Genomic DNA, 27,682 nt, shown 5'->3' with positions numbered 1-27,682 from the left:
GAGGGTGAGGGTGAGGATGAAGGTTAAGGGTTAGGGTTAGTGGTTAGGGTTAGGGTTAAGGGTTAAGGGTCAGGGTTAGGGGTTTGGGTCAAGGGTTAGGGTCAAGGGTTAGGGTTAGGGGTTAAGAGTTAGGGGTTAGGGATTATGGTTTGGGTGAGGGGTGAGGGGTGAGGGTGAGGGTTAGGGTTAGCGTTTTAGGGTTATGGTTCGGGTTAAGGGTTAGGGTTAGGGGTTAGGGGTTAAGGGTTAGGGTTAGGGTTAGGGTCAGGGTAAGGGTAAGGGTAAGGATTAGGGTTAGGATTAGGGTAAGGGTTAGGGTTAGGGTTTTAGGGTTAGGGTTTTAGGGTTAGGATTAGGGGTTAGGGTTAGGGTTAGGGTTAGGGTTAGCGTTAGCGTTAGGGTTAGGGTTAGTGTTAGGGGTTAGGGGTTAGGGTTAGGATTAGGGGCTAGGGTTAGGGTTGGGTTAGGGTTAGGGTTAGGGTTAGGGTTAGGGTTAGCGTTAGGGTTAGGGTTAGTGTTAGGGGTTAGGGGTTAGGGTTAGGATTAGGGGCTAGGGTTAGGGTTGGGTTAGGGTTAGGGTTGGGTTAGGGTTAGGGTTTGGGTTAGGATTAGGGGTTAGGGGTTAGGGTTAGGATTAGGGGCTAGGGTTAGGGTTAGGGTTAGGGTTAGGGTTAGGATTAGGGTTAGGGTTAGGGTTAGCGTTAGCGTTAGGGTTAGGGTTAGTGTTAGGGGTTAGGGTTAGGATTAGGGGCTAGGGTTAGGGTTGGGTTAGGGTTAGGGTTGGGTTAGGGTTAGGGTTTGGGTTAGGATTAGGGGTTAGGGGTTAGGGTTAGGAGTAGGGTTAGGGTTAGGGTTAGGGTAGGGTTAGGTTTAGGGTTAGGGTTAGGGTTGGGTTAGGGTTAGGGTTTGGGTTAGGATTAGGGGTTAGGGGTTAGGGTTAGGATTAGGGGTTAGGGTTAGGGTACTGTAAATAATTTCACATTATTACTAATAATAAATTAGTATTTGTATTACACTATTACATAATGTAAAGGCTATTAAGACATGTTTGTCTTCAAAGAATGGCCTTGGTTTCTGTGGGCAGTGCCTCCTCATGGAAGGGTAATGCATTCCTGCTAAATCATGGACTAAACCGGCTTCCAGGAGCTACAGGCTGCAGCAGCAGCTTCTCCTCTACGTCCTTCACTGCCTCAAACTGTTGTTGACTTTGAAAGCGTCTTTCAGTCTAGTTTTATCAACAGAGCTAGTATTTCATGAGGTTCTACTACATACCAGGTTCCAGAAAGCTAAATGCCTTTTGTTTGTTATTATTCTCTAAATACAAATCACAACTCCTCATTACTCACACAACAAAATTTAGCTGCGGGAGATTGAGTGACTTTCCCAGGGTCACATAGCTACTAAGAGCAGAGTCGTGTTTAGATTCATGTGGGAATATTGAACACAGAAATGAACCAGTGGAAACATCCTGTGTTCCAAAAGCCTACTCAAGCCATTTGTTCTTATTTTAAGGAAAATCTTTATGCTAATTTTAAACTCCAAATACTTACGAATGGCAGAGATCTACAGATTTGATTCTGATGTAAGAAATGATGGTCACCAGCTGGTTACTGCTACCACCCCACAACCCCGAGCATACTGGACGAATGTCTAAGCCTTGTGGTTAGTGGGGACAATGCTGGTGGAGTCTGAAGTTGTCATGCAGTGACTCATGCAAGCTTAGGCAGATTTGGTGATATATGACACAGAGATGCAAAGAAATGTTGTAGCTGACACACACAGGCTGGCTCTGGGAGATGCAGAAGGAGCACGTCACCCAAAATAGAGCCAGACAGACATCCTTAAGGAAGGAGCAAAGGGGCTGCATCTTAAAGAATGTAGAAAGGATTTGTCATGAGAGATGGGGCAGGAAGTTCTTGAGAGGCAGAGGGAGAGCATGAGAATGTTGGGAAGGGAGGAGAGATTCTTGCACATCTGGGAAGCTGACAATCCATCAGCATGGCCAGAAGGAAAATAAGGAGGAGGAGCAGAAATAGATGAGGCTGGATATAGAAGCAGGGCTGAAGCTGTGTCAATTGTGGTAAAGAGTTGTGATTCTATCCAGAACGCAATAGGTAGCATTCTAAACAGAGATCTTTTAAAACAAGAGTCAGCAAGTATTTTCTGCAAGGGGCTAAATGTTAAATATTTTAAGTTTTCCAAGCCATATGGTCTCTCTCTCAATGACTCAGCTCTTCCATTATACCATGAAAGTAGCCAGAGACATTATGTAACACATGTATTGGCTGTGTCCCATTACAACTTTACTTACAAACGCAGACTGTGTCAGACATGGTCCATGCATGGTAGTTTGCCACACTCTGTTTTAGAAAGCTCAGGTTTATGATGTGATGGAGAATGCCCACAAGAGCTCTTGTTTTAAACGGTAGAGTGAACATACACTGGAATTCTATCCTGCTTGACACAAGCTCTTGATAGCGAAAGGTAGAAAAGATAGATGGTAAATAGATAGATAGATGATAGATAAAGAAAATACATAGCTGTTCCAGAAAACAGAAATGGATAACTTCATGAACCAAAAGCAGAGTAATATACTTTAGAAAGGAAGCAGGCCGGAAAACCCACAGTTGCAAAACAAATAGAATTTCCAACTGCCTCTTGTAGCCCCTTCCTGGAAGTAGTCACAGCCCGGGGTGTTCAACTTCTTCCTCTGTTTTTTGTTTGTTTGTTGTTTGCTTTTCTGTGGGGTTTTTGTTGTTGTTGTTTGCTTTTAAAAAAAAAATTCCCTTTCCCTGCTTTTTTGTCACAGCAGCCTTTGTCACTTCAAACACCGCAAGTGTTCTTTAAAAAAAATTATATCAACCTTTCAATTAAAATGCAACATGTCTGAAAGTTGGTATCTGGAGAGGTGAGTTGGACAAAGGAGCCCTTGTTACTGCACGTTTTCATTCTTCAAATTTCACCTTGCACGCAGTAACAGACAGTGCACAAAGCCACTTCCTTATGGACGGAAATTCTGAAATCCTTTTATGCCTGGCCTTTCCATCCTTCAACTTCCCCTCTCCCACGCTGTGAATGATTGTATTGGACATTTTTGTTTTAATGTCAGTGACAGGGGAACACAGGTAGCTCTAATATAGCTGTGACCCAGATGCTTCTGTTTCTAGCATGTATTTATTTTGTAGCAAACATTTACATCCATGATGTTTCACTGTCTTTTGAAAATAATTAGGCAATATCTCATCTGAGGTAGGATGTTTCTAGGGGTTGTGTTCTGAGGGAGGAAAACTAATCTGTTCTCTTTCCACTGCATTCTAGGAACAGTAAGAGGACCTTGTGCATGAATAATTTGTTTCCACACTACAGAGTGGGTAATAAGCAGATTAGTAAAAACAATTCTGCTTCACTTCAATAACAGCCTCCTCCAACTCATTTTTTCTCAACAAACTTATTTTTCCAGCAGAAGAATCCCAGACTTCTTAGAGAACCCAGTGACTTTTTGCACCTTAAATCTGTGAAATCCTTATGTTTTCTTCTGCCGTATCCATAGTTCAAACAAAGATGAGGCAAAGCTAGACGCATTCCTGAAGGAACCCAAGAAATTCCTCTCTTTCTTTCTCTGGAATGAAATGAATTCTCTAGACCACCAGTTCTAACCTTCAAAAACCAAACCTGTTTGTGAGATCTCCTTCAAATACTACTGTAGACCCCAGTGTTTATTCATTAAATTTTTTAAATATTTGTTTTATTTGGAATCCATGTATTTGTAATTTTAGTGTTTGTATTAATATCAGGGAGAAATGTTTAAATCTGTCTTATGCCATATGTGCCTCTGGCTTATTGCCCAATTAATTGTAGTCTCAGGCTAAACTTTGGTTTCTGTCTTTAATTTTTGTCAGAAGAAATATAACTGATCTCAAAACATCTGCTTTTATTGTAGGGGCTTGTGCTGCCGTCTCCATTCTTCTCTCTTTTCTTGCAATCTGGGTGGAAGTTCTTTAATATGAACATTTCAACCACCTTCATTCTACCATGTCCACTATCAGCACATTCAAACTGATCCAGCCAAGGCTGTCATCTTAGGCCAGGGATTTTTTAGGAATCTATTTTGCTGTGATGCGGCTGGCACCCCTTTGACTCACTGTATCACCCCAGGGTTCTTTTCATTTCAGAAGCCCAAGAGGGCAGAAAAAGAAGTAGGTGAGCAATTAAACACTCTGAGTCAGGAGCGTCTCCCCTTGCGTTAAGCAATGTTGTAGAACATCGATGTTCTACATCGATGTTGGCGACCTTGGTACCATTTTGTCCACTTGATTGGAAAAGCCAGTCAATAATTTCAGGTCACTGTTGGCCTTAGAAGAAGAGCCCAAAGGCAACAAGCAAAGGCGCTGGTGTCCAGTCGCCTTCTAGAAGCATTTTCACTTTCCCTTAAGGTTTCCCTTGATGAACATAGAAGTACTGTATGTAGAATTGACCCAGTGCTGCCCTGGCAACTTTGTATATTAGGCCAAATTTACATTTCTTACCTTTATGAGAGGCACCCTGGTAGGCTAGTGGAGTTACACACAAAGTCTGATCTCAGCTGCACTGTCCAGAAATGCAACACGGTCCAATCAAATAACATTCTCTGAGCCTGTTTCTTTAGCTGTGAAAGAAGAATAACATACCCATCTAAAAAGGCAGCTTATTGTATTTGATTGGTCTTTTATTTTCTATGAAACTGTGTTTAACACAGTAATTATTTTCATTTGTGTACTACATTTGTGTTGTGTTTTTGGTTTTAGTTTTGTTTTTGAAATGGAGTCTTTTTTTTAGTGGTTTTTTGTTTTGTTTTGTTTTGTTTTGTTTTTGAGATGGAGTCTTTCTATTGTCACCCAGGCTAGAGTGCAGTGGCGTGATCTCCGCTCACTGCAACCTCCACCTCCCAGGTTCAAGTGGTTCTCCTGCCTCAGCCTCCTGAGAAGCTGGGATTACAGGTGCCCACCACCATGCCCAGCTAATTTTTAAAATATATTTTTAGTAGAGATGGGGTTACAACATGTTGCCCGGGCTGGTCTCAAACTACTGACGTCAAGTGATCCACCTGCCTTGGCTTCCCAAAGTGCTGGGATTATAGGCATGAGCCACCACGCCTGGCTTGTTTTAAAATAAGGGTTTCTTGGCTAGGCATGGTGGCTCACACCTGTAATCCCAGCACTTTGGGAGGCCAAGGTCAGTGGATCACCTGAGGTCAGGAGTTCGAGACCAGCCTGACCAATATGGAGAAACCCTGTCTCAACTGAAAATACAAAATTAGCCAGGCGTGGTGGTGCATGCCTGTAATCCCAGCTACTCAGGAGGCTGAGGAAGGAGAATTGCTTGAACCCAGGGGGCAGAGATTGCAGTGAGCTGAGATCGCACCATTGCACTCCAGCCTGGGCAACGAGCAAAACTCTGTCTCAAAATAAAAAAAAGATTTCTTAAAATGATATTTTCAGTATTTTATAGATGATGTGTAAGCAGCAAGCTTAATAGGATGTTACCCGACACTTTGCGAGACTGGCAGCTGATTTGATCCAGATGCCTCTAATTCTTTTTTCTTTTTCTTTTTCTGTTTTTTTTTTTTTTTTGACAGAGCCTTGCTCCGTCCCCCATGCTGGAGTGCAGTGGCACGATCTCGGCTCACTGCAACCTCCACCTCCCGGGTTCAAGCGATTCTCCTGCCTCAGGCTCCCGAGTAGCTGGGATTACAGGCGCGCGCCACCATGCCCAGCTAATTTTTTGTATTTTTGGTAGAGACGGCATTTCACCATGTTGGCCAGGCTGGTCTCGAACTCCTGACCTTAGGTGATCTGCCTGCCTCGGCTTCCCAAAGTGTTAGGATTACAGGCGTCAGCCACTGTGCCTGGCCCAGATGTCTCTAATTCTAACATGAGATGTATTGCAGGATCATAGCAGAGTGAGTTGCTGATGTATCCAGAAGGAAACGAGCATGGAACACTCACGACAGCTGTCCTGAGAAGTGTGTGTGTGCTGTGCTTGAATATCTCACTGCTCATTTATACACAGGCTTTCTGGTGACTGAGTTAACAGTATCTGTTTCATAAATAATGTAGCCCTCTTTCTTTCTTTCTCTCTCTCTCTCTCTTTTTTTTTTTTTTTTTTTTTTTTGAGACAGGGTCTTGCTCTGCTACCCAGGCTGGAGTGCAATGGTGCAGTCTCAGCTCACTGCAACTTCACCATGCCTGGCTAATTTTTTCTTTTTTTTTTTTTTGAGACGGAGTTTCGCTGTTTTTGCCCAGGCTGGAGTGCAATGGCACAATCTCGGCTCACCACAATCTTTGCCTTTTGGGTTCAAGGGATTCTCCTGCCTCAGCCTCCCGAGTAGCTGGGATTACAGGCATGTGCCACCACACCCGGCTAATGTTGTAGTTTTAGTAGAGACGGGGTTTCCCTATGTTGGTTAGGCTGGTCTCAAACTCCTGACCTCAGGTGATCTACCCGCCTCGGCCTCTCAAAGTGCTGGGATCACAGGCATGAGCCATCACTCCTGGCCTAATTTTTGTATTTTTAGTAGAGAGAGGGTTTCACTCTGTTGGCCAGGCTGGTCTCGAATTCCTGACCTCAAGTTATCTGCCTGCCTCGGCCTCCCAAACTGTTGGAGTTACAGGCGTGAACCACCATGCCTGGCCAGCTCTATTTCTTTAAGCCTACATGTTTTGCACTTGTTAAAAGTATTTGAACATACAATTACTCAGCTTCCCTTGTTTACGCGTGAATTTTGTAGAATCTTAAATATTTTTTCCAATCTAAGCTTTATTTTATCCCGTTTCTTCTATATTTGTATAACTTTAGGCGGCTATCTTCATTGAAAGTTTTTTCTCAAAAGCCTTAAGATAGAACATAGTTCTTGGCAGCAATTTGAAAGTTATTTGAGGAGAAGGGGAGACTTACAATGATGATTCAAATGAAGGAAACTAAAAAGTAATGAAGCAAGGCAGAGGAAAAAGCAGTACTCACTTGAGCACATCCCAAAAGAATAACATTTCAAATGTAACTAGAAAAAAGTATGCTGAAGTTCGCAATACAGAAATAATTATTAATAAGATAGCTTTAAAGCCCTGCTCAGCTTTTGAATGTTGGGAATTGACCCAGAGGTGGCTGTAACCTAAGATGGTTCCTTCAGTAATGACCATTTTTTCTTTTTCAAGATGATGATTATTCCCCACCTTCTAAGAGACAAAGACCAACGAGCCACCACAGCCACCAGTCCCAGAACCCGCCAATGCTGGGGAACGGAAAATGAGGGAGTTCAACTCTGGTAAGTTCTCAGCGAAATCCATGACCTTTTCCTTTATCTTCTGGACTCTCAGTGTGATTGATGAAAGTTACCACATGCTCTGCAGGGGGAAATGGTTTAGCATGTGTTACTACATCTTAATCACATCTTTGTAAAGCCAGGAGCATTTTACAAGTCACGTTACAGACATTGTTTAAACATAGTCTGTATTTACCAAAGTATAGGACATTGTATCATCTCATATTAATTAGTTAGTTGGCTCAAAATTAGTGCTAATGACTTAGTAATTCAGTGATTTCTGTTAGCTTTAAAACCTTTATTTCAGAACTATTTCACCTCTTGGTTTTCATTTTTGCGGTGTGTCACTGCCTGCCGGCTGCTAATTTATTAACTCCCAGTGAATCATGTCCTGTGAAGGGACTGAATATTAGTGGCAATTTATGTTGATGATTTGTATTTTGAATAGTTTGAATACATAGAACATTAAGCTTGTATACATTTTGAAAATAGTATTTTAATATTCTACTGTGTCATAGTTACAATGATTGGATATATGTTGAATTTATATGTACTTTGAGTTGTTCTATGTTTATGGTCTTTAGCATTCTAACGTGCAATTGTATATCTGTTAAGTCTTTTTTTTTTCGAGATTAGACTGATTTATTGAGGCGTCTGTTTGATGCCACATTAAGTGGCCCAGGCTTTGTGTAGGGTTGAGGTTAAAGCAGGAAGAAGGGTGGTGAGAGGCGGGGCACCAGGGTTAGGTTGGAATACCTGGGGGTGCTCTGAGGCTCCCCAAGTTTCCCTGGTCTTGGCCGGCTGTGCTGCTGGCCTGGGCATCTGATGGGCTTGCAAGGGTGGTCCAGGGGCTAGGGCAGGGACTTTGGAGTGACGCCGTTGGCTTTGAATCCAGACTCCTACACTTGGTAGCTGTGAACTCTCCATGCCTCAGGGACCTGCAGAACTGAGCTCTGTCTGAGCCAGGTTCCATCCAGGCACTGCGCATCCATCCAGAGGGGCACTGCCTCAGGCTGCTCGCTGTTCACTGCCTTCTCAAGCAGACCCTTGTCTCCTTCTAGGCCCTCACAATCCAGTGGAGGAGACGAAACTCATCTGCCTCTGTCCCTCTGGGCACGCCTCGTGCCAGGTGCATCTGTGGACAGGGGCCATGCTCCTGGGCTTCCAAAGTTGGAGAAAGCTGCCAGGCTCAGGTGGGTACATCACAGCAGCTGCTGCCCTCTGAACACAGTGACAAAAGAACACTCTGGGCCTGGAGCCCTGGTCTGGGGCATTGGGCAAGGCTGTTGCACTTCTCTGATCCCATTTCCCCATCTGGAAAGTGCGCTGATTGTATCTCCCTGTGGGCACTGAGGGCTCAGTGTTAGTTTGAGAGCCAGCATCTGGGGTTTGGGCTGTAATTCCCCATCAGCCCCATAGCTGCGGGGAACCAGGGACTTTGTTGGGATTACCCTAGGCATCAGTTTAGCTTCCTGCCCCTGGCTTGGGCTCAGCACCTGAAGTAGTCTAGGGGGTAGGTGGTGCTGGTGGGGGCTGGGGCTTTTACCCAGACTGAGGTCACACCCAGAGCCAGAAGTCTTGGTGCCTGCTCTGGGCAAAGGTGCCAGCCTGTGTGACAAGAGCGAAACTCCGTCTCCAAAACAAAAACAAAAAACCTTGCATCATTTCAAGGGGCTCACACCTCCCTAAGGGCCTGGTAATTGGCTGGCTCTGGCCTGCATCTGGCCCCGAGGGTGTAGGTAACACCCCACCTTACCTGGTTTCTTCCTGCCAGGGCCAATCTTCAGACCTCAGGACTTTACAGCCTATCCCACCTCCCCTCTGGCCAGCCTTGAGCCCTTGTGGGTCCAGCACTTTTTCCAGGCTGTCTCCTGGTTGTCCTTCTGCCTCGAGGCCTGGCTCATGCTGCTCCCCCTCCCACTCTCCAAGACCCACAAGGACCACTCCACACCCAGCTCAGCCCCATCCCCTCAGATAGTCCTTTCTCTTTCCTCAGGTGGCCAGGTGCATATCTTGGTGTGAGGACCTTTGCTGTATCTGGGAATGCCTACTGGTTACCTTGGTAACAGAGAACAAGGCATTTACCTGATATGAGTGTCTTGGTTCACTGTCTACATGGCTAGAGAGGGAATCAATAATAGGCTTTTCACTTGCTGCAAGGGCCGGTTCTCCTGGCCCTATGGCTCTAGGGATGGAGGACGCTGCAGGAGATGCAGCGCTCACTTCCTAGCTGAGGACTGTGGGTCATCTCAGGGCGATTTCACAGTCCCCACATGCCCCACCCCCTCAGCTCTGCAAATACCAAGCAGTGCAGCCTGCCTAGGGGATGATGGGCTCGAGAGTGCCCAGGTAGTGCCCAGAGTGCCCTTGGCAGGCCCCTCACCTGGCTGCTTCCACAGCTCTGTAGCAAGAGTTCTAACCTTTTTTCACCGTGAAGCCTGCTGAGAATAAGAGCTGTGGACTGTTTTCCCAGAAAGGCATGTACATGCTCTCCACACAAAACCTTTCATCGTGGCCAAGCACAGTGGCTGATGTGATCCCAGAACTTTGGGAGGCGGAGCCAGTCGGATCACCTGAGGTCAGGAGTTCAAGACCAGCCTGCCCAACATGGCGAAACCCTGTCTCTACTAAAAATACAAAAAATTAGCCAGGCGTGGTGGCAGCCACCTGTAATCCCAGCTACTCCAGAGGCTGAGGCAGGAGAATCACTTGAACCTGGGAGGCGCAGGTTGTAGTGTGGTGAGATCACGCCACTGCACTCCAGCCTGGGCGACAGGAGCGAAACTCTGTCTCAAAAAACAAAACAAAACAAAACCTTGCATCCTTTCAGGGGGCTCACACCTCCCTAAGGGCCCAGTAATTAAACCCTTTGGGCCTGAGGGTGAGAAACTTTGTCTCAGTTCTTCCCCAAGTGATCAGCCCAGGGGTAAGGAAGGAGAAGCCAGAAAGCAGGACCCATGAGAAGGGCCCCCTCCTGGAGTTTGAGGCCCACTCCCTCCTGCCCCTTCCTCTCCTCTGTCCAGGACTCCTCCCTGCTCTGCCCCACTCCTGGGGCCATAACCATGGGGAGCTGTGGTTTTCTACAGGCCCCTGGGCACAAAGTGGGCAGGCTCACCTGGAGGCGATCAGAGTAACATGGCAGGAAGTGAGGGGGAAAGCCGCCCTGGAACTGCGCCTCTCTGCCCCCTGACGTCACTGGCGTGCACTCCTCCCTCCCCTCAGGCAGTGGCATGAGTTCCATGTGAGCGCTGTCCTGCTCCCTCTGCTGCCTCTTTTTTTTCTTGGGGCTGCCATAACACTTTCCCTTCCCCAGCCCTGCCAACCTGGTGGGACATTGGGCTTCCCTCTCACAGGGTCCTGGGGACAGGCCCATCCTTTATCATACCCACAGAGAGACCGTTTTTTTCTTCAGAACCTGGGGAGCAGCCAGGTTCCATGAGTTAAATGCAGATCTGAACCAAGCTGGGATTGGGGTACACACTCTCCTCTACTGAAAAGTAGCTAGGGATTCCAACTAGGTGAGAAGGAGAGTGGGGCAGAGCCAGACCAGACAAGGACTGATCACCTGGAAAAAGCCTGCCATCAAAGGTCTTGGCAAATGCTGGGTGCAGTGGCTCACTCCTGTAATACCAGCACTTTGCGGGGCTGAGACAGGTGGACTACTTGAGGCAAGGAGTTCGAGTCCAGCCTGGGCAACATGGCAAAACCGCATCTCTACTAGAAATACAAAAATTAGCTAGGCATGCTACACTCCTGTCATCCCAGCTACTCAGGAGACTGAGGCAGGAGAATCACTTGAACTGGGGAGGCAGAGGTCGAAGTGAGCCGAGATTGTGCCCCTGCACTCCAGTCTGGGAGACAGAGTGAAACTGGCCTCAAAAAAAAAAAAAGAATATGGCCTTGGCAGAGAGGGGCCAGCCCAGTAGTGCCTTCCCTTGGGTTTCTCCTGGGTAGGCCTCTGCCATGAGGAGGTGCTTCCTTCTGCCTGTCCATGGCCCACAGCAATGGAATGTCTGTTTCTGGGGGTTGGGTGGGAGAGTGCTGGCAGAACTGGAAACCTTCAGGTGGGGTTTTTTTGTTTTGTTTTGTTTTCGAGATGGAGCGTCGCTCTGTCACCCAGGCTGGAGTGCAGTGGTGGAATCTCAGTTCACTGCAACCTCTGCCCCCCTGGGTTCAAACAATTCTCCTGTCTCAGCCTCCTGAGTAGCTGAGATTACAGGCATGTGCCACCATGCCCGGCTAGTTTTTGTATTTTTTGTATAGATGGCATTTCACCATGTTGGCTGGGCTGGTCTCGAACTCCTGACCTCAAGTGATCCACCCATCTCGGCCTCCCAAAGTGCTGGGATTACAGGCATGAGCCACTGAGCCCAGCCCCTTCAGGGGGGTTTTGAGGCTTCACTACAATACTAGTTTCCTGTGGCTGCTGCAACAAATTACCACACACTTAGTGACTTAAAACAACCAAAATGTATTCCCTTACAGGTCTGAAGGCCAGAATTCTACAGTAAGTCCTACTGAGTCAAGGTGGGAGCAGGGTCGGTAGCTTCCGAGGCTCTGCGGGAGAATCCGTTTCCTGGCCGTAGAGGTGGCCTGCACTCCTCAGCTTGTGCTGTCCGTCTCGAATGACTGGAGTTTCCTGCTTCTGTCACTACACCTCCCACCCTCTCCATCACCTGCTCTGCTCTTACAAGGATCCGAGTGAGTACATCAACCCCAAAAGCCAAAGACCCTTAACTTCATTATATCTGCAAAGCTCCTTTTGCCATATAAGGTCATGTTCACCAGTTCCCGGGATTAGGATATGGGCATCTTGGGGGCATCAGCCTGCTACAGCTAGGCTGCAAAACTGTTACACCCTCCTGGTGTTTCAATGATTGGGAGAAAAAGGGTTGGCATTTTTTGCTTAGGGGTCCCTCTTAAACTTGTATCTGTAAGGTCGGGGGTCCCTCTTAACCTTGTGTTTTTGTTTTTGTTTTTTTTGAGGTGGAGTCTTGCTCTGTCATCCAGGCTGGCAGTGGCGTGATCTTGGCTCACTGCAATGTCTGCCTCCTGGGTTCAGGTGATTCTCCTGCCTCAGCCTCCTGAGTAGCTGGGACTACAGGCGCCCGCCACCATGCCCTGCTGTTTTGTATTTTTGGTAGGGACGGGGTGGGGGTGGGGCTAGGGAGGGGGGTTTTGGCTATGTTGCCCTGAGCTCAAAGTGATCCGCCTGCCTCTGCTGCCAAAGTGCTGGGATTACAGGCCTGCACCACTGCACCCGGCTGCTGTAAAGTCTTATTTCACACAGCTGAGACATGTTTTAGGAAGTTTGCTAAAAGACCCCTGGAGACCGCCTCATTGTGACCTCCCTGTTATTGTGTTTAATTTGATTGAACTTTTCTGCCCTCCTGCTTTTCAGCTTCTCTAATAGTCTCCCATTAAACCAATTCTAAGAACCACCAAGAAGGGGAAATTTTTTCTTGAAAGCAGTAAAATGATATGGACTGTTAGAATGTAAAATATATGAAATCAGTCATTATACGTTAGTGCTGCTCTGACATAGGGATGTGTTATTGAGAAGCAACTTTTGCTTGGTTTTCAGAGAAATGGAATCATCGTATCGCTGATCTACGTAAACAAACTGAAGAATTGTCTGAAAGAAAATATGGTATGTCTAAACTGGAAAAGTCTTGTAATCTTATGTTCATGGGCGTTTACACAGTGGAGTTACTGTTCATCATGGGGGTACCGTGGACAAGCCCAGGGCTGCCGGCGAGTCATGCCATCCTTACATGTTTCTCCTTGTAAGGTGCTTTGTAGTGTCTACACACTTTGTTTCTAGATTGCTGCAAAGCTGAGGAAAAGTTGTATTTCTTTAGTTATTAGTTAGCATTTCTTTTAAACTTTCAGTATGGAGATTGGAAATTTATTTACATATTTATTGCAAAGCCCTGGATCTTAGGAATTTCATTGAATTATTTATTTATTTTTTTTGAGACGGAGCCTCACTCTGTCGCCCAGGCTGGAGTGCAGTGGCACGATCTCGGCTCACTGCAACCTCCGCCTCCCGGGTTCAAGCAGTTCTCTGCCTCAGCCTCCCGAGCAGCTAGGATTACAGGCACCAGCCACCATGCCTGGCTGATTTTTGTATTTTTAGTAGAGACGGGGTTTCATGATCTTGGCTAGGCTGGTCTTGAACTGCTGACCTCCTCATCCACTCACCTCAGCCTCCCAAAGTGCTGGGATTATAGGTGTGAGCCACCATGCCTGGCCAAATATTATTTTTTTAAATGAATTGTTTCTCTTAGTCTGCTTTGTTAAATTTGGAATTCATCTGGGCGCGGTGGCTCACACCTGTAATCCCAGCACTTTGGGAGGCCAAGGCAGGCAGATATCTAGGTCGGGAGTTCGAGACCAGCCTGACCAACATGGAGAAACCCCGTCTCTACTAAAAATACAAAATTAGACAGGTGTGGTGGCGCATGTCTGTAATCCCAGCTATTCGGGAGGCCAAGGCAGGAGAATCGCTTGAACCCAGGAGGCAGAGGTTGCAGTGAGGTGAGGTTGGCACCATTGCACTGTAGCCTGGGCAAAAAGAGCAAAACTCCATCTCAAAATAAATAAATAAATAAAATGTTCAGTACTCACCAAGGTGCCCCTGTTGTCTCTACTTTTATCTTGATGCATCACTGAATTGATGTTAGATTTCAAATTCATCATTGCCCTGATACTATTCTATCCTGAAGCCACCTTTATATAGTGATGAAAGAAATTAGCGATTTGTTATTATCCTCTCTCTGTTGGTATACATCAAATACTCACCTAAAAAAGAGCAACAACCAGTGGAAAACATGATGTTTTTATTTGGGTGACTATTTACTTGTAACCTACTAGCAAACTATAAAATTGTATGATATGCAGAATTTTAACTGAATTGCTTTAAGTGAACATTTAAACATGATAAACAATATTGATGGTATTTATGTTAATATACTTAAAATGAACATTTTTCTTCATCATGAGTAATATAACCTACTCCTCAATGAAAACCTAGCACTAAATTTGCTAATGAATTCAATAACATTTCCATAATATTTTTAGTTACATGCTTAAGGTTCTCTTAGTGTTTCTCCCACTTTTTAATAGCTTATGCCTTTTTCACCTTTGGTTTTTTTTTGGTTCATTTTAAAGCAAAAATCTCACAACATGTGATATCTGGAAACACTGTAACCTAGTGGTAAGACCATAGGCCCTGGGGACACAGGCTGGCCACGTCTCTTCTCCTGTCTGAGCTTTAATATCCTCTTTTGTGGTCATGAGAACTGAAGATCTGTCCCGAAGATTTGATAAGATAGTAAAGTGCTTCACATAATACCAGACATATAAATACACAGTAAATGCTTCCTCCTTATATTTTTATTGATTGATTGATGGAGACAGAATCTTGCTCTCTTGCCCAGGCTGGAATGCAGTGGCATGATAATGGTTTCTGCAACCTCCACCTCCTGGGTTCAGGCAATTCTCCTGCCTCAGCCTCCCGAGTAGCTGGGATTACAGGTGCCTGCCACCATGCCCAGCTAATTATTGTACTTTTAGTACAGACGGGGTTTTACCATGTTGGCCAGGCTGGTCTCGAACTCCTGACCTCATGATCTGCCTGCCTCGGCCTCCCAAACTGCTGGGATTACAGGTGTGAGCCACTGTGCCCAGCCTGTCTTTTCTCTTCACACCCGCAGTTCATGATGAAATATTAAATATGTACTAGTGGATATTACTTTGCTGAATATTGCCTAATGAATATTAAGTATTTATTCTCACCTTTCAGACATGAACTTATGAATTCAACAGGTGAAGATTTACAACTTGATAAATCAACTTTGTCAGGTACGTCTTCAGTCAAGTCAGATTAGAAGATTATGTGAGGTAATTAACACTTAACATTGATTTAATGGTAGCTTCCACATGAAATAGTATGCCTCTAAGTATTAATTATGTCCTAGGACAGGAGAATTCATGTTGTCAAAATTCTCATACTCTCTAGAACAATAAACTCATTTTCTTTTTATTAGTAAATATTGCATTTATGGGTAGACAAAACTGAAAGAACAATATTTGTTCTACTTTTGAGATGCAAGATTCATCTGGCATAATGCATTGAACAGGTTATTACTGAAGTCTACACCAGTCAACTGAATAAGCATTCATCAAATGTCCATGATATGCAGGACATAAGTTTTCTTTTAGAGTATGGAACCATGCATATTATCTTTTAATTAGATGATTTAGTTAGATATGTTTTTAAAGAACTAGAAATATAATTGATTTTCTTGTTTTGGCTCTGGAGTGGAGTGGGGACGAAACAGAATGGATTCACACTGTTTAGATTTACTAAAATGGAAAGATTGCAGCAAGATCATATCCCTAGTCTCCCTACTCCCTATAGCAAATGTCACCTGCTAGCTGTTTTTTTTTTTTTTTTTTTTTTTTGGAGGTTGAAGTTTTGTTCTGTCACCCACGCTGGAGTGCAGTGGTATGATCTCAGCTCATGGCAAGCTCACCTCCTGGGTTCAAGCAATTCTCCCTGCCTCAGCCTCCTAAGTAGCTGGGATTACAGGCGTCTGCCACCACGCCTGCCTAATTTTTGTATTTGTAGTAGAGTTGGGGTTTCATCATGTTGGCCAGGCTGGCCTTGAACTCCTGACTTCAGGAGATTCACCCGCCTCAGCCTCCCAAAGTGCTTGGGATTATGGGTGTGTCACTGCACTTGGATTTAATGGGATATTTCACTACAGACTTCGGTAAACAGAATATTAGCATTTTTGGTGTTCTTTTTATTTTACTCATACTGTTTTTCTTTGGACTCAATCACAATAACAGAATTAAAGATCAAAGTGTAAAAGTTAAAGACCAGTACAGATTCAATAATTATTCTTTTCTACATACCGTGTTTAAATGATATCCCTTTTTCTTTTTGTTCTTATAGCTCGAGCTGTAAAAGCCAAAGGTCCGGTGATGATCCCATACCCTTTTTTCCAGTCTCATGTTGAAGATTTTTATGTAGAAGGCCTTCCCAAAGGAATTTTTTTTTTTTTTTTTTTGAGATGGAGTTTTCACTCTTATCGCCCAGGCTGGGGTGCAATGGCGCAACCTTGCTGGTCACTGCAACCTCTGCCTCCTGGGTTCAAGAAATTCTCCTGCCTTAGCCTCCCAAGTCACTGGGATTACAGGTGCCCACCACCATACCAGGCTAATTTTTGTATTTTTAGTGGAGATGCGGTTTCACCATGTTGGCCGGGCCAGTCTCGAACTCCTGACGTCAAGTGATCTTCCCGCCTCGACTCCTGATATCAAGTGATCTTCCCGCCTCGGCCTCCCAGAGTGCTGAGATTACAGACGTGAACCCATGCCTGGCCAGGAATTTTGTTTTTTAGGAAGGCTTTCTACTAATGGAATTCCTGGCCTTGAGAGGATGTTACTTTAGAAGGAAAGGATTTTTTTGTTATTAAAAGGTAAGATTCCTGGATTCTTATTGGACTGTTGTCTCTGTTATGAGTAATCCATCTTTAGTCATTCACCACTAGGGTTGTATTTAAGTCTGAGTTATTTTATGGTGGTTTTGTTTTGTTTTTACCGAATTTTGTTCTCATTGCCGTGGCTTGAGGGCAATGACGTGATCTCAGGTCACCACATTCTCTGCCTTCCAGGTTCAAGCAATTCTCCTGCCTCAGCCTCCTTAGTAGCTGGATTTACAGGCATGCGCCACCATGCCTGGCTAATTTTTTGTATTTTTAGTAGAGATGGTGTTTCACCATGTTGACCAGGCTGGTCTAGAACTCCTGACCTTGGGTGATCCACCCGCCTCGGCCTCCCAAAGTGCTGGGATTACAGGCATGAGCCACTGCGCCCAGCCTGGGCCTGCTTCTTTCTCTTTTTCTTTTTTTTTCATTAGCAGCTTAAAATTGGTGCCTTATTCAGACACAAGCAAAAGGACATTAGCCCAGCTTTGGAAATAGGTGAGAGCCCATATATGATTTTCCTAGTTTCTCCTCCCCTTTTGCTTTTTGCTCTCTTGTTAGTATATTAATTGTTTTCACTCTCTGAATCTTTTTTCCCCATTTCTTTGGCAGACATTTTTACTTGTCTTGGAAGAGTAGGTGAAGAGCTGTTTTTAGGACTCTTTGAAAGGGTACAGTATGGGTGACAGTCTTGGCTAATGGTAACATCCAGGGAGCTGGGGTCAGCGTGAGCTGGAATCAGTTCAAATTAGCAAAGCACTGGCACTCAGTAGCAGGAATACAAGTGACTGCAAAGTGTTAAACACATCTGGAGAGGGATACTGACATCATCCTCAGAATCTGTGGGGAGTTCACATAGCCAGTTAAGACCCATTCTTCTTTGACCCTGTAAAGATTCTTTAAAGAATAAATACCCTTAGTGGTTTTCTAGCCAGCTTGCCTGCTCATTTATCTTTGAGGACGATATGCCTTGTGGAGCTCCACAGGCCCCAGAGGGGTATGGATTCTGCATTTAAAAGTGCTGAAGCTGAGAGACTGGGTCTTGGTGGACCCCGAGAGGTCTGTTTCTCCTCTACTCATTGTTCCTTTTTTTCCCAACAGCTGGCATTGCTGTTTAAATGGGTTGTTCTTTGCTGTTTTAAGTTGTTTCATAGTGGTGTGTCAGGATTTGGGTTTTCTTAATACTTTCCAAGCTGGTGACTTGAGTGGTGGTTAGGGAGGAAATGTTTTAGGGCTGTTCTGGAGCTATTGAGGTCGGGTGTCTAGATACTCCCAGCTTGTCTGTTGAGGAGAATGCTGTTCTCATTGTGCTGCCTTTGGTGGTGCTGTGTGTGGCTCTTTAGATGTGCGTGGAGGTGAGCTGGGGGAGTTAATGAGATCTTTTTTAGGTGCTTTTGATAAAGTAGCCTGCACTACAGGATTCACTGTGACTTTTTTCCTTAACCTATGCATTTCTCTCTGCTAGCTTTTGCTGTCTTTCTCATGCCTTTGATTTTCCCAGCTCCTCTTAGTTGAATTAACCTAAGTGCTCTGCTATGGTTTAAATGTGTCCCCCAAAGTTTATGTGCTGGAAACTCAATCCTCAATGCAACAGTTGGGATGTGGGGCCTAATAAAATAGCCTTCATGAATGAGTTAATGTTGTTATTGTGGTAATAGATTAGTAATCACAGAGTGGGCTTATTATAAAACAGAGTTCAGCCCCTTTTGCCCTCTTGCTTTCTTGCACTCTCTTTTCCTTCTGCCTTCTGTAGTGGGATGATGCAGCAAGAAGACCCTTACCAGATGCAGGCCCCTCAACCTTGGACTTCCTAACATCCAGAACTGTTAAGAAATAAAATTTATTCCTTTCCTTTCCTTTTCTTCCTCCTTTCCCTTCTCTTCCCTTTTCTTCCCTTCCCCTCCCTCCCTCTCTCTCTCCCTCCCTCCCTCCTTCCCTCCCTTCCTCCTTCCCTCTTTCTCTCTTTCCCTTCCTTCCTTTCCTTCCCTCCTTCCCTTTTTCCCTCCTTCCCTCCTCCCTTCCTTTTTTCTTTCCTTCCTTTTTTCCTTTTTATAAATTATGCAGTCTGTGGTATTCTTTTATAGAAGCATGAAATGGACAAAGACTCCATTTTCAAGAGCAAGCACTTTTGTAGTTTCTGAGCGAACTATGACTGCAAAGGAAGTTCTATAGGTAGCCTCAGATCCACTACCTAGGAAGCATGCTACCAAGCAGACCTAGGATCTAGGATTTGATCAAGTGCTGGGCAACATGATACCTCTGCAATTTAGCACTTCCCTATATACCTCCAGTTGGCTCAGCCCATTAGGGCTAAAACTACCCCTCATATCCTAGTGTCTCTTGTAGGCAGAAGCCTTGCCTAAACCCTAAGCTGCTTGGCTCACATTCTGTCTTGTGCTTTTTTTGTAGGGGGTTCAAATATACACAAAAGAAATATGTTGCACCTCCATGCACCCAACCCGCAGATTAAGCAGTTACCTCCATTTTTCCAGATTTGTTTCATCTGCTTCAATCTCCCTAAAAATTTATGTTTGTACAGGAAAGACTGAATAAATAGCTAATTCTCCACCCTACCTCTCATCTTAAGTCACTTTTCAGAGTAGTAAGTTAGTGACCTAGTAACCTTCCCTCTAATGACCAGTAGTTTTTTTTTCTGAATACCATTATGAACTCATAGATTATTGTTTGCATTTGATGTATTTCAGGCCATTGCAGTCTTTATTGTTTTGGATGCTTACATTGTCTCATCTAGGTTAATAATTATCTCTTCAAGTTGACTTTCATGTCTTTTTGACGTGATCCTGTTGGACTTTGATGGCTTCCTTGCTTTCTGGCAAAACAGATGTTCCAGGATCAATATACTGCACCATACATGGAGTCAGCCATTTCTCTAGGGAACCTTGATTCCTTTTAGTAGAGAACACAGTTTGAGGTCTTGGACTGAATGACTTTTGTGAACCTCCTCTCCTGAGACTACAGCCTGCATCCCTGCATATAGCCCGTTTGGAGCTCTTGCTGGGCACCAACAGATCTCCTAAAACTGCTATATAGTTCTGCCTCACTCTTACAAAGATTCATCTCTTGAGAGTTTTGTGCTCTACCCCCAGATGTGGTCTTTCTGGTTATGAAGCTTTTGCTTCAGTCACCCTGAATTTTGCCAGCCCTATGCATGCTATACCTTGGATTGCCAACTTGCCCTCACTGAAGCCAGTTTCTCTGGTTAGAATAGTTGCCCAAACCCATGCCTAATACTCTAGTAAACAAGGTTCTACCTGGGCTTAGGTTAACTTTTGCTCCTTTGGGCCCTGTGTTCTACCAGCATTCCATTTATCTGAAACTCTCCCTCACCTTAAGAACTTATCTGTTCTTTAATGATTTACTGCTGCTTCCTGGGCTCGAAAGAACCCAGTTCAGGAGTTTCTGTTTTAGTTTGAGATCTTATAGGCCTGTCTCATCAGGTTGGTGTCAGCCCAGCTAGGATTAGGCAGAATTGGGTGGGGGCTGTAGTGCATTTTTGGCACAGCATGTACCTGTCTGACTAATTCTCTGTCTTTTCTTTCCTGTTGCAATTCATGGGTCTTAGCATCTTCTGAATGGTGTTTAGTAGGTCATCCTGTTGATTTCCTGCTAGGGAGTAGCATACTCTGGCCCTGTACCATTGGCCAAGGGACTTAAGGATAGATGAAGGGCTGCAGTTTTGTTAAATGGAACAATATGAAGAGATGGCATTGCTAAAAAAAAAAAAAAAGGCTTGGCAGCAGGGCCCATTTGAATGGTTGGTCCTTGGCTCCTTTGTTGATATAGGCAGATCCTTGATGGGAATTTGGAATGATCCCAAATATTGTAGATCACTGGTACATCAAGTCATCCTCAAGGTTGTCTGTGTAACAGTCTTGAATGATATTTTGTCAGTCTTTGGAGATTCTCTGTATAGGGTTTAATCATTTAGTTATTTCAGTTGAGCCTGTTTAGTTTCTTTGCAAGGAGATAAGAAATGTGAAAGAGATGCAGACATTAGGGAAAAAAAGTCAGGAGCCTTGTTTCCCCATCCTCTACTTGGGTTCTGGAACTAGACTCATAGGTGAGTAGTGAGGAGCTGGGCCCAAGCACATTAATCCTAGATCTAGCTCTGCTTTGCCCTCGCTCCAGTTCTTGTATCAAATTCACTTCAAGCCACCCAGAGTAGTATGTAGAGGAGTCATTCAGGACCATGCTCATACTTCATTGTATCAAATGGGAGATCCAGTAATTTATAGCCTATTGTTTCTAGAGCCTGGAGATGGCTCTGCATAAGATTTGCCGAAGCAAATTTTATTACATTAGAAGAGAACCTAGCTGGCTGCATCCTACACTGGAAGCTTTTAGATGCTAATAAGGAGGTCATGTAAAGGTCACAGAATGACTCTGGAATCCATTCCCCGCCAAGAAAGAATAATGACATTCTATGTTGGCCTCTTTTCATTTCCCTTTGGTTTTGAGTAATAAATTCTCTCCTCACTTCCCAGTCGAACTGTTTGGGAGTCTCTATTCCCTAGAAAGACTCTGGTCACATACCCATCAGATTAAATTAGGTGAAAACTCTTTGGCCTTCATGAATGTTGAAGGATTTCAAAGGGCTAATGGAAATTCTTCTAGAAGTAACTGCAACCTCCGCCTTCCGGGTTCAAGCGATTTTCCTGCCTCAGCCTCCCAAGTAGCTGGGATTACAGGTGTCCACCACCATGCCCAACTAATTTTTGTATTTTTAGTAGAGACGGGGTTTCACCATGTTGGCCAGGCTGATCTAGAACTTTTGACCTCAGGTGATCCGCCCGCCTCAGCCTCCCAAAGTGCTGGGATTACAGGCGTGATCCACCGCGCCCAGTTAAACTTCAGTTTTTCATGTTCCATGCATTGGTCAGGGTCTTAGGGAGTGATTCATTCTAGCAGAACTCCCTGGATTTTAAGGCAGATGTTCCATTTATTAATTGACAAAGGAGGCATATTTCTCCCCTGGTAACCCAAAGATTTAGGTCATTTTCCCAGAGACTCCATTTCCACTGTGAGGGTTCTTGGAAAACTAAGCAGAGGATGAGGAAAAGTCTGTGAACAAGCTTGCTGGTCTCTCCCTGTCCTACAAAAGAGCATACCTCTTCTGTAACCAGAAGGCCCTTTTGATTAGTCAAGGCTGGACAGAGTGAGATTGGGTGTGTGTGTGTGTGTGTGTGTGTGTGTGTGTGTGTGTGTTTGTGTGTGTCTTGAGACAGGGTCTCACTCTGTCACCAAGGCTAGAGTGCAGTGGTGAGATCAGAGCTCACTGCAGCTTCCACTTCCTGGGCTCAAGCGATCCTCCTATTTCAGCCTCCAGAGTAGCTGGGACTATACGAATGTTTTACCGCACCCAGTTCATTTTCTAATTTTTTGTAGAGATGAGGTTTCACTGTGTTGCTCAGGCTGGTCTTGAACTCCTGGCCTCACGGAATCCTCCTGCCTTAGTCTCCCAGTGGGCTGGGATTATAGGTATGAGCCACCTCACCTGACCTGCGACGATTTTTCAATGATGTAATTTCTCTTTTACAGAGCCACCTAAGCTGAAGATTCCCTTGAGAACAAGTACTGTCCCTAGTTTCCCAGTGCTGGAATATAGAAAATGGATGGACAAGTAAATCCCACTCAGCACCCATAGTCCAGGCATGGGGACCTCAACACACCTGAGCCCCAGACATCACCTTTCATTGTGAGTAGCTCTGAGATGACATTTCTGCTGTTCCCAATTCCAGCATTAATTGGATTAGATAGTTATTTTATGAAGAATTTTCATATGCCACAATCCTGACCATATCTTCAAGTGAACAGAAAAATTCTATTAAAAAGTCAACCTTCTGTCTCACTCTGTTGCCCAGACTGGAGTGCAGTGGTGCAATTATGGCTCACTGCAGCCTCAACCTCCTGGGCTCAAGCAATCCTCCTGCCTCAGCCTCACAAGTAGCTGGGACTACAGGTGCTTGTCACCACATCTCACTAATTTTCCCATTTGTGTTATATGTGGATTCCACAGGACTGACTTCGAAAACTTGAGTATGCGTGGATTTTGGTATACACAGAAATGGGAGAGCTGGAACTAATCCCCCCATATACCAAGGGACAAATTGTATCTGTTTCTACAATTATACAGTAGGAGACATTATGTTCCATGACAATGGTAATTTTTAACGACAGTTTTTAATTGAGTGAAATTACCATAAAAATAATAATAGTAGCAGCTAATATTTACTGAGCTGTTACTAGGTGCCTATAAATAGCATAGATTTTTAAATTCTCCATAATTCTTCCTTATTTCACTTAACCACTCTATCTTAAATTGCTCATGCTTGCCTCAGTAGCACACATACTTAAGTTGGAACAATAGAGAGATTGGCACGGCCTCTGTGAAAGAATGACATGCAAATTTGTGAAGCATTCCATATTTTTTTAAAAAAAGAGAAAAAAATTACTCCCAGATTTTCACTGTGTTTGTGCATATGACCTTTTGTTTAGGTTGAATTATATCCAAAGGTGAAATTTCCAGAAGTGAGATTACTGTGAGTCACAGGGCATGAGCATTCTTATTACCCTCGATGTAAATTGCAAAGCTTTCAGGCATGGTGGCTGTCAGCCTGTAATTCCAGCACTTTGGGAGGCTGAGGTGGGAGGATTGCTTGAGGCCAGGAGTTGGAGGAGGCAGTATAATGAGTCACTGTCTGTATGATTTAAAAAAAATTTCCAAGCTTTATGCTGGAAGGCTTATATACATTTTAAACACCACTAATACTACAAGAAAATGGCCATTTCACTGCACCTTCGCCCACACAGGTATTATAATTTAACAAGTTATTTTCTGTGTGATAAATGAAAGACCTCCTATTATTACTTTGTCACCCATTCTTTTTTCTTTTTTGAGACACAGTCTCGCTCTGTCGACCAGGCTGGAGTGCAGTGGTGTGATCTCGGCTCACTGCAACCTGTGCCTCCCAGGTTCAAGCGATTCTCCTGCCTCAGCCTCCTGAGTAGCTGGGATTACAGGCATATGCCACCATGCCTGGTTAATTTTTGTATTTTTAGTAGAAACGTGGTTTCACCATGTTGATCAGGCTGGTCTCGAACTCCTGATCTCGTGATCTACCCGCCTTGGCCTCCCAAAGTGCTTGATTACAGCTGTGAGCCATGTGCCCAGCCTATTTGTCACATATTTTATCTTTCCTTATGTTAGCTTATTAGCTTTATTTCTTTATTGTCCTTTTTTTTTTTTTGAGATGAAGTCTCGCTCTGTCTCCTAGGCTTCAGTGTAGTGGCACAGTCTCAACTCACTGCAGCCTTGACCTCCTAGGCTCAGGTGATCCTTCCACCTCAGTAGTTGGGACTATAGGCACATGCCACTATGCCTGGCCAATTATTTTTATTTTTTTATTTTTACTAGAGAGGAGGTCTTGCTTTGTTTCTTAGGCTGGTCTGGAACTGCTGGCCTCAAGCAATCCCCCCACCACCCCCTCCCAAAGTACTGGTATTATAAGCATGAGCCACCATGCCTGGGGTATCTGTGTCTTTTCCATTTATTTATAGAGTTACTTTGTCTTTTACTAATTCAATGATCTGTTTAATCTTTTATTAAATTATAAAAATGATAAATACTTTTAAATAAGTGAAAAATGTCCTTCACTCTTTAGACCCATAATCTTATCTCAGGAAATAATTGCAGTTGAGAAAATGGGCCATATCCTTCAAGATACGTACATGGTGATTGAACATCACTTCATATTTTCATATTTCGTGGACATTTGTGCCAATACCTATTGATCTATCTTAATCCTTTTCATGGTTGCATAATATTTTATTATATGGATGTATCACAATTTACCAGTACCAGTCAACTGCTGGAGGCATTTAGGCTCCTTCTAATATTTGCTTTGAGCTCTTTATATAATTAAAAATTAACCCCCTCAGCCAGGTGTGGCAGCTCACACCTGTAATCCCAGCATTTTGGAAGGCTGAGGTGAGAGAACTGCCTGAGTGTAGGAGATCACCACCAACCTGGTCAACATAGTGACACTTTGTCTCTACTACAAATTAAAAAAAAAAAAAATGAGCTACACGTTGCAGTGCACACCTGTAGTCCGAGCTACTGGGGAGGCTAAGACTGGAGGATCACTTGAGTCTAGAAGGTTGAGGCTGCAGTAAGCTATGATCACACCATTGCACTTTAGCTTTGCTAAGAGCAAGACTGCATTTCTTAAACAAAATAAAAATTAGATGGGAATATTGCTCAAGCCCTGGAGGTTGAGGCTGCAGTTAACTGTGATTGCACCACTGCAGTCCAGCCTAGGTGATAGAGCAAGACCCTTTCTCTAAAAATAAAATAAAATAAAAATTAACCTTCTATCATATTTCCCAGTAACACCTTCCCTCCTACATTTCTCCTAGAAGCCCTTAAATTTTGTTTTTCACATATCGTTTAAAACTTTTAAGTGCTGATGTCTGTCTGTGTCATCCCTCTTTTTTTTTTTTTTTTTAAATGTCTTTTTGTCACTTCTAGCTGGACCTACCATGAAAGACTTCTGAATCCAGGAAGAGAAACTGACTGGGCAACATGTTATTCAGGTACAAAAAGACTTGGACTGTAACTCAAAAATGATCAAATAATAGTGCATGCATCAAGTGCAATCGGAAGCTCTTCTGGAGAGGGAGAGAAGCTTCCAGTTAAGGTGACATTGAAGCCAAGTCCTGTAAGATAAGGAAGAGTTGTATGAGAGTGGGGAGGGAAGGGGGAGGTGGAGGGATGGGGATTGGGCTGGGATGGGATGGAGTGAGCTGCCCAGGCAGGGAAACCAGCACTATACAGACCTGAACAATGAAGATGGCACATTTTGTTCAGGGAATGGTGAATTAAGTGTGGCAGAAATGCTTTGTAGAGACAGTAATTTGCTTGTATGGAATTTTGCCCAAGAGACCTCATTACAGTTTCTAATTTTTTGATGTTATCATGCATCACTGCCCTTGTCAGATAGTATCATGATCACAATAACATCAAGCATAATATTTCATTGATTCTCACAAAAACAGGTGGGTGCCACAGTTATCCCCATTATATGCACAAAATGATGAAGACTTGGGGTTAATGAGCGATTTGCCCAAGCTCTCCTGAATATTAGGACTGAGTCAAATGTTAGTCTGGTCTGACTTTAATGCTTGCCTTGTTCATGAGCACCATGCATTGCCTCTCCTATTAAGTTAAGCAGGTAGACAGGTGAGAGAAGAGCCAGTGTGATATCGGGGGAAATTCACCCCTGATATTTCATGTAGGTTCTTTTCTATTTTCCCTGAGTGTCAGCCAGTCTGAGAAATAAAGGGAAAGAGTACAAAAGAGAGAAATTTTAAAGCTGGATGTCCAGGGGAGACATCACACGTCGGCAGGTTCCGTGATGCCCCCCAAGCCGCAAAACCAACAAGTTTTTATTAGTGATTTTCAAAAGGTGAGGGAGTGTACGAATGGGGTGTGGGTCACAGAGATCACATGCTTCACAAGGTAATAAAATATCACAAGGCAAATGGAGGCAGGGCAAGATCACAGGACCACAGGACTGGGGCGAAATTAAAATTGCTAATGAAGTTTCGGGCGCGCATTGTCATTGATAACATCTTATCAGGAGAAAGGGTTTGAGAGCAGACAACCCATCTGACCAACATTTATTAGGCGGGAATTTCCTTGTCCTGATAAGCCTGGGAGCGCCACGCGAACCCAGGGCTTATTTCATCCCTTATCTATGACTGTAAAAGACAGCCGTCCCCAAAGCGGCCATTTCAGAGGCCTCCCCTTAGGGATGCATTCTCTTTCTCAGGGATGTTCTTTGCTGAGAAAAAGAATTCAGCAATACTTCTCCTATTTGCTTTTGAAAGAAGAGAAATATGGCTCTGTTCAACCCGGCCCACAGGCAGCCAGAGTTTAAGGTTATCTCCCTTGTTCCCTGAAATTGCTGTTATCCTGTTCTTTTTTCAAGGTGCCCAGGTTTCATATTGTTTAAACAACTTGTGCAGTTAACGCAATTATCACAGGGTCCTGCGGGGACATTCATCCTCAGCTTACGAAGATGACCGGATTAAGAGATTAAAGACAGGCATAGAAAATCACAAGGGTATTGATTGGGGAAGTGATAAGTGTCCATGAAATCTTCACAATTTATGTTCAGAGATTGCAGTAATGACAGGCCTAAGAAATTATAGAAGTATTAATTTGGGGAACTAATAAATGTCCATGAAATCTTCACAATTTATGTTCTTCTGCTGTGGCTTCAGCCAGTCCCTCCGTTTGGGGTCCCTGACTTCCTGCAACATGTTTCTCTCTACTCACAGACTTCTGACCAAATGTGTGTGCAGAGTTTCTACACCAGTTCTCCAACTCTCTGGATACCAACCGCGTATCCCACAATTCCATTCTGACACTACCTAGAGTTAGCACAGAACCCACAGGTTAGGGGCTCAGTCCCACAAGACCACCCTCACTTCAGATGCCAGTTGCAAGTCCTAGGTTGTCACCTGTATTTTGACCAACCAGTTAGAAATCAGGGTTTCCCATGACCCTCTTGTTGAGTTTAATTATTTACTAGAACAACTCACAGAACTTAGAAAAACAAGTTTTTTTTCTTTTCTTGTTAAGAGACAGGGCCTCGCTCTGTTGTCCAAGCTGGTGTGCAGTGGTGCAATCATAGCTTATTGAAGCCTCAACATCCAGGGCTCAAGTGATTCTCCTGCTTCAGCCTCTCAAGTAGCTGGAATTACAGGGTTCCCACCACCACATTTGGCTAATTTCTTTTATTTTTTGTATAGATGGGGTCTTCTTATGTTGCCGAGGTTGGTCTCAAATTCCTAGGCTCAAGTG

The 27,682-nt window shown here is 44.2% G+C and overlaps 1 long non-coding RNA gene, 1 other non-coding gene and 1 pseudogene across 6 annotated transcripts; all 3 read left to right on the top strand.

Moving 5' to 3' along the window:
* Positions 1-1,235: 1,235 nt before the first annotated feature.
* Positions 1,236-3,757, top strand: LOC101930129 (uncharacterized). Of its 2 annotated transcripts, none has more exons than XR_001748086.3 (2): positions 1,236-3,367; positions 3,464-3,757. It is a non-coding gene; the product is annotated as an uncharacterized LOC101930129 (long non-coding RNA). The 2 variants fall into 2 exon arrangements; XR_001748087.3 differs by having other exon boundaries at positions 3,461-3,757.
* Positions 3,758-5,809: 2,052 nt separating this feature from the next.
* On the top strand, positions 5,810-27,500 carry LOC112268070 (uncharacterized). 4 transcript variants are annotated; one of them, XR_007062533.1, is made up of 9 exons: positions 5,810-7,300; positions 8,359-8,490; positions 11,783-11,998; positions 12,882-12,947; positions 15,105-15,163; positions 16,263-16,788; positions 22,354-22,510; positions 25,343-25,407; positions 27,461-27,500. It is a non-coding gene; the product is annotated as an uncharacterized LOC112268070 (transcript). The 4 variants fall into 4 exon arrangements; XR_007062532.1 differs by lacking the exon at positions 27,461-27,500 and adding an exon at positions 27,157-27,447; XR_007062534.1 differs by lacking the exon at positions 27,461-27,500 and adding an exon at positions 26,805-26,840.
* On the top strand, positions 23,141-23,244 carry RNU6-447P (RNA, U6 small nuclear 447, pseudogene; annotated as a pseudogene).
* Positions 27,501-27,682: the final 182 nt, after the last annotated feature.

Source organism: Homo sapiens, chromosome 11 (genome assembly GCF_000001405.40).
Source record: "Homo sapiens chromosome 11, GRCh38.p14 Primary Assembly".
Classification (NCBI taxonomy): Eukaryota; Metazoa; Chordata; class Mammalia; order Primates; family Hominidae; genus Homo; species Homo sapiens.
The sequence above is the reverse complement of the archived record's forward strand: the minus strand, read 5'-3'. Positions and strand labels throughout refer to the sequence as shown.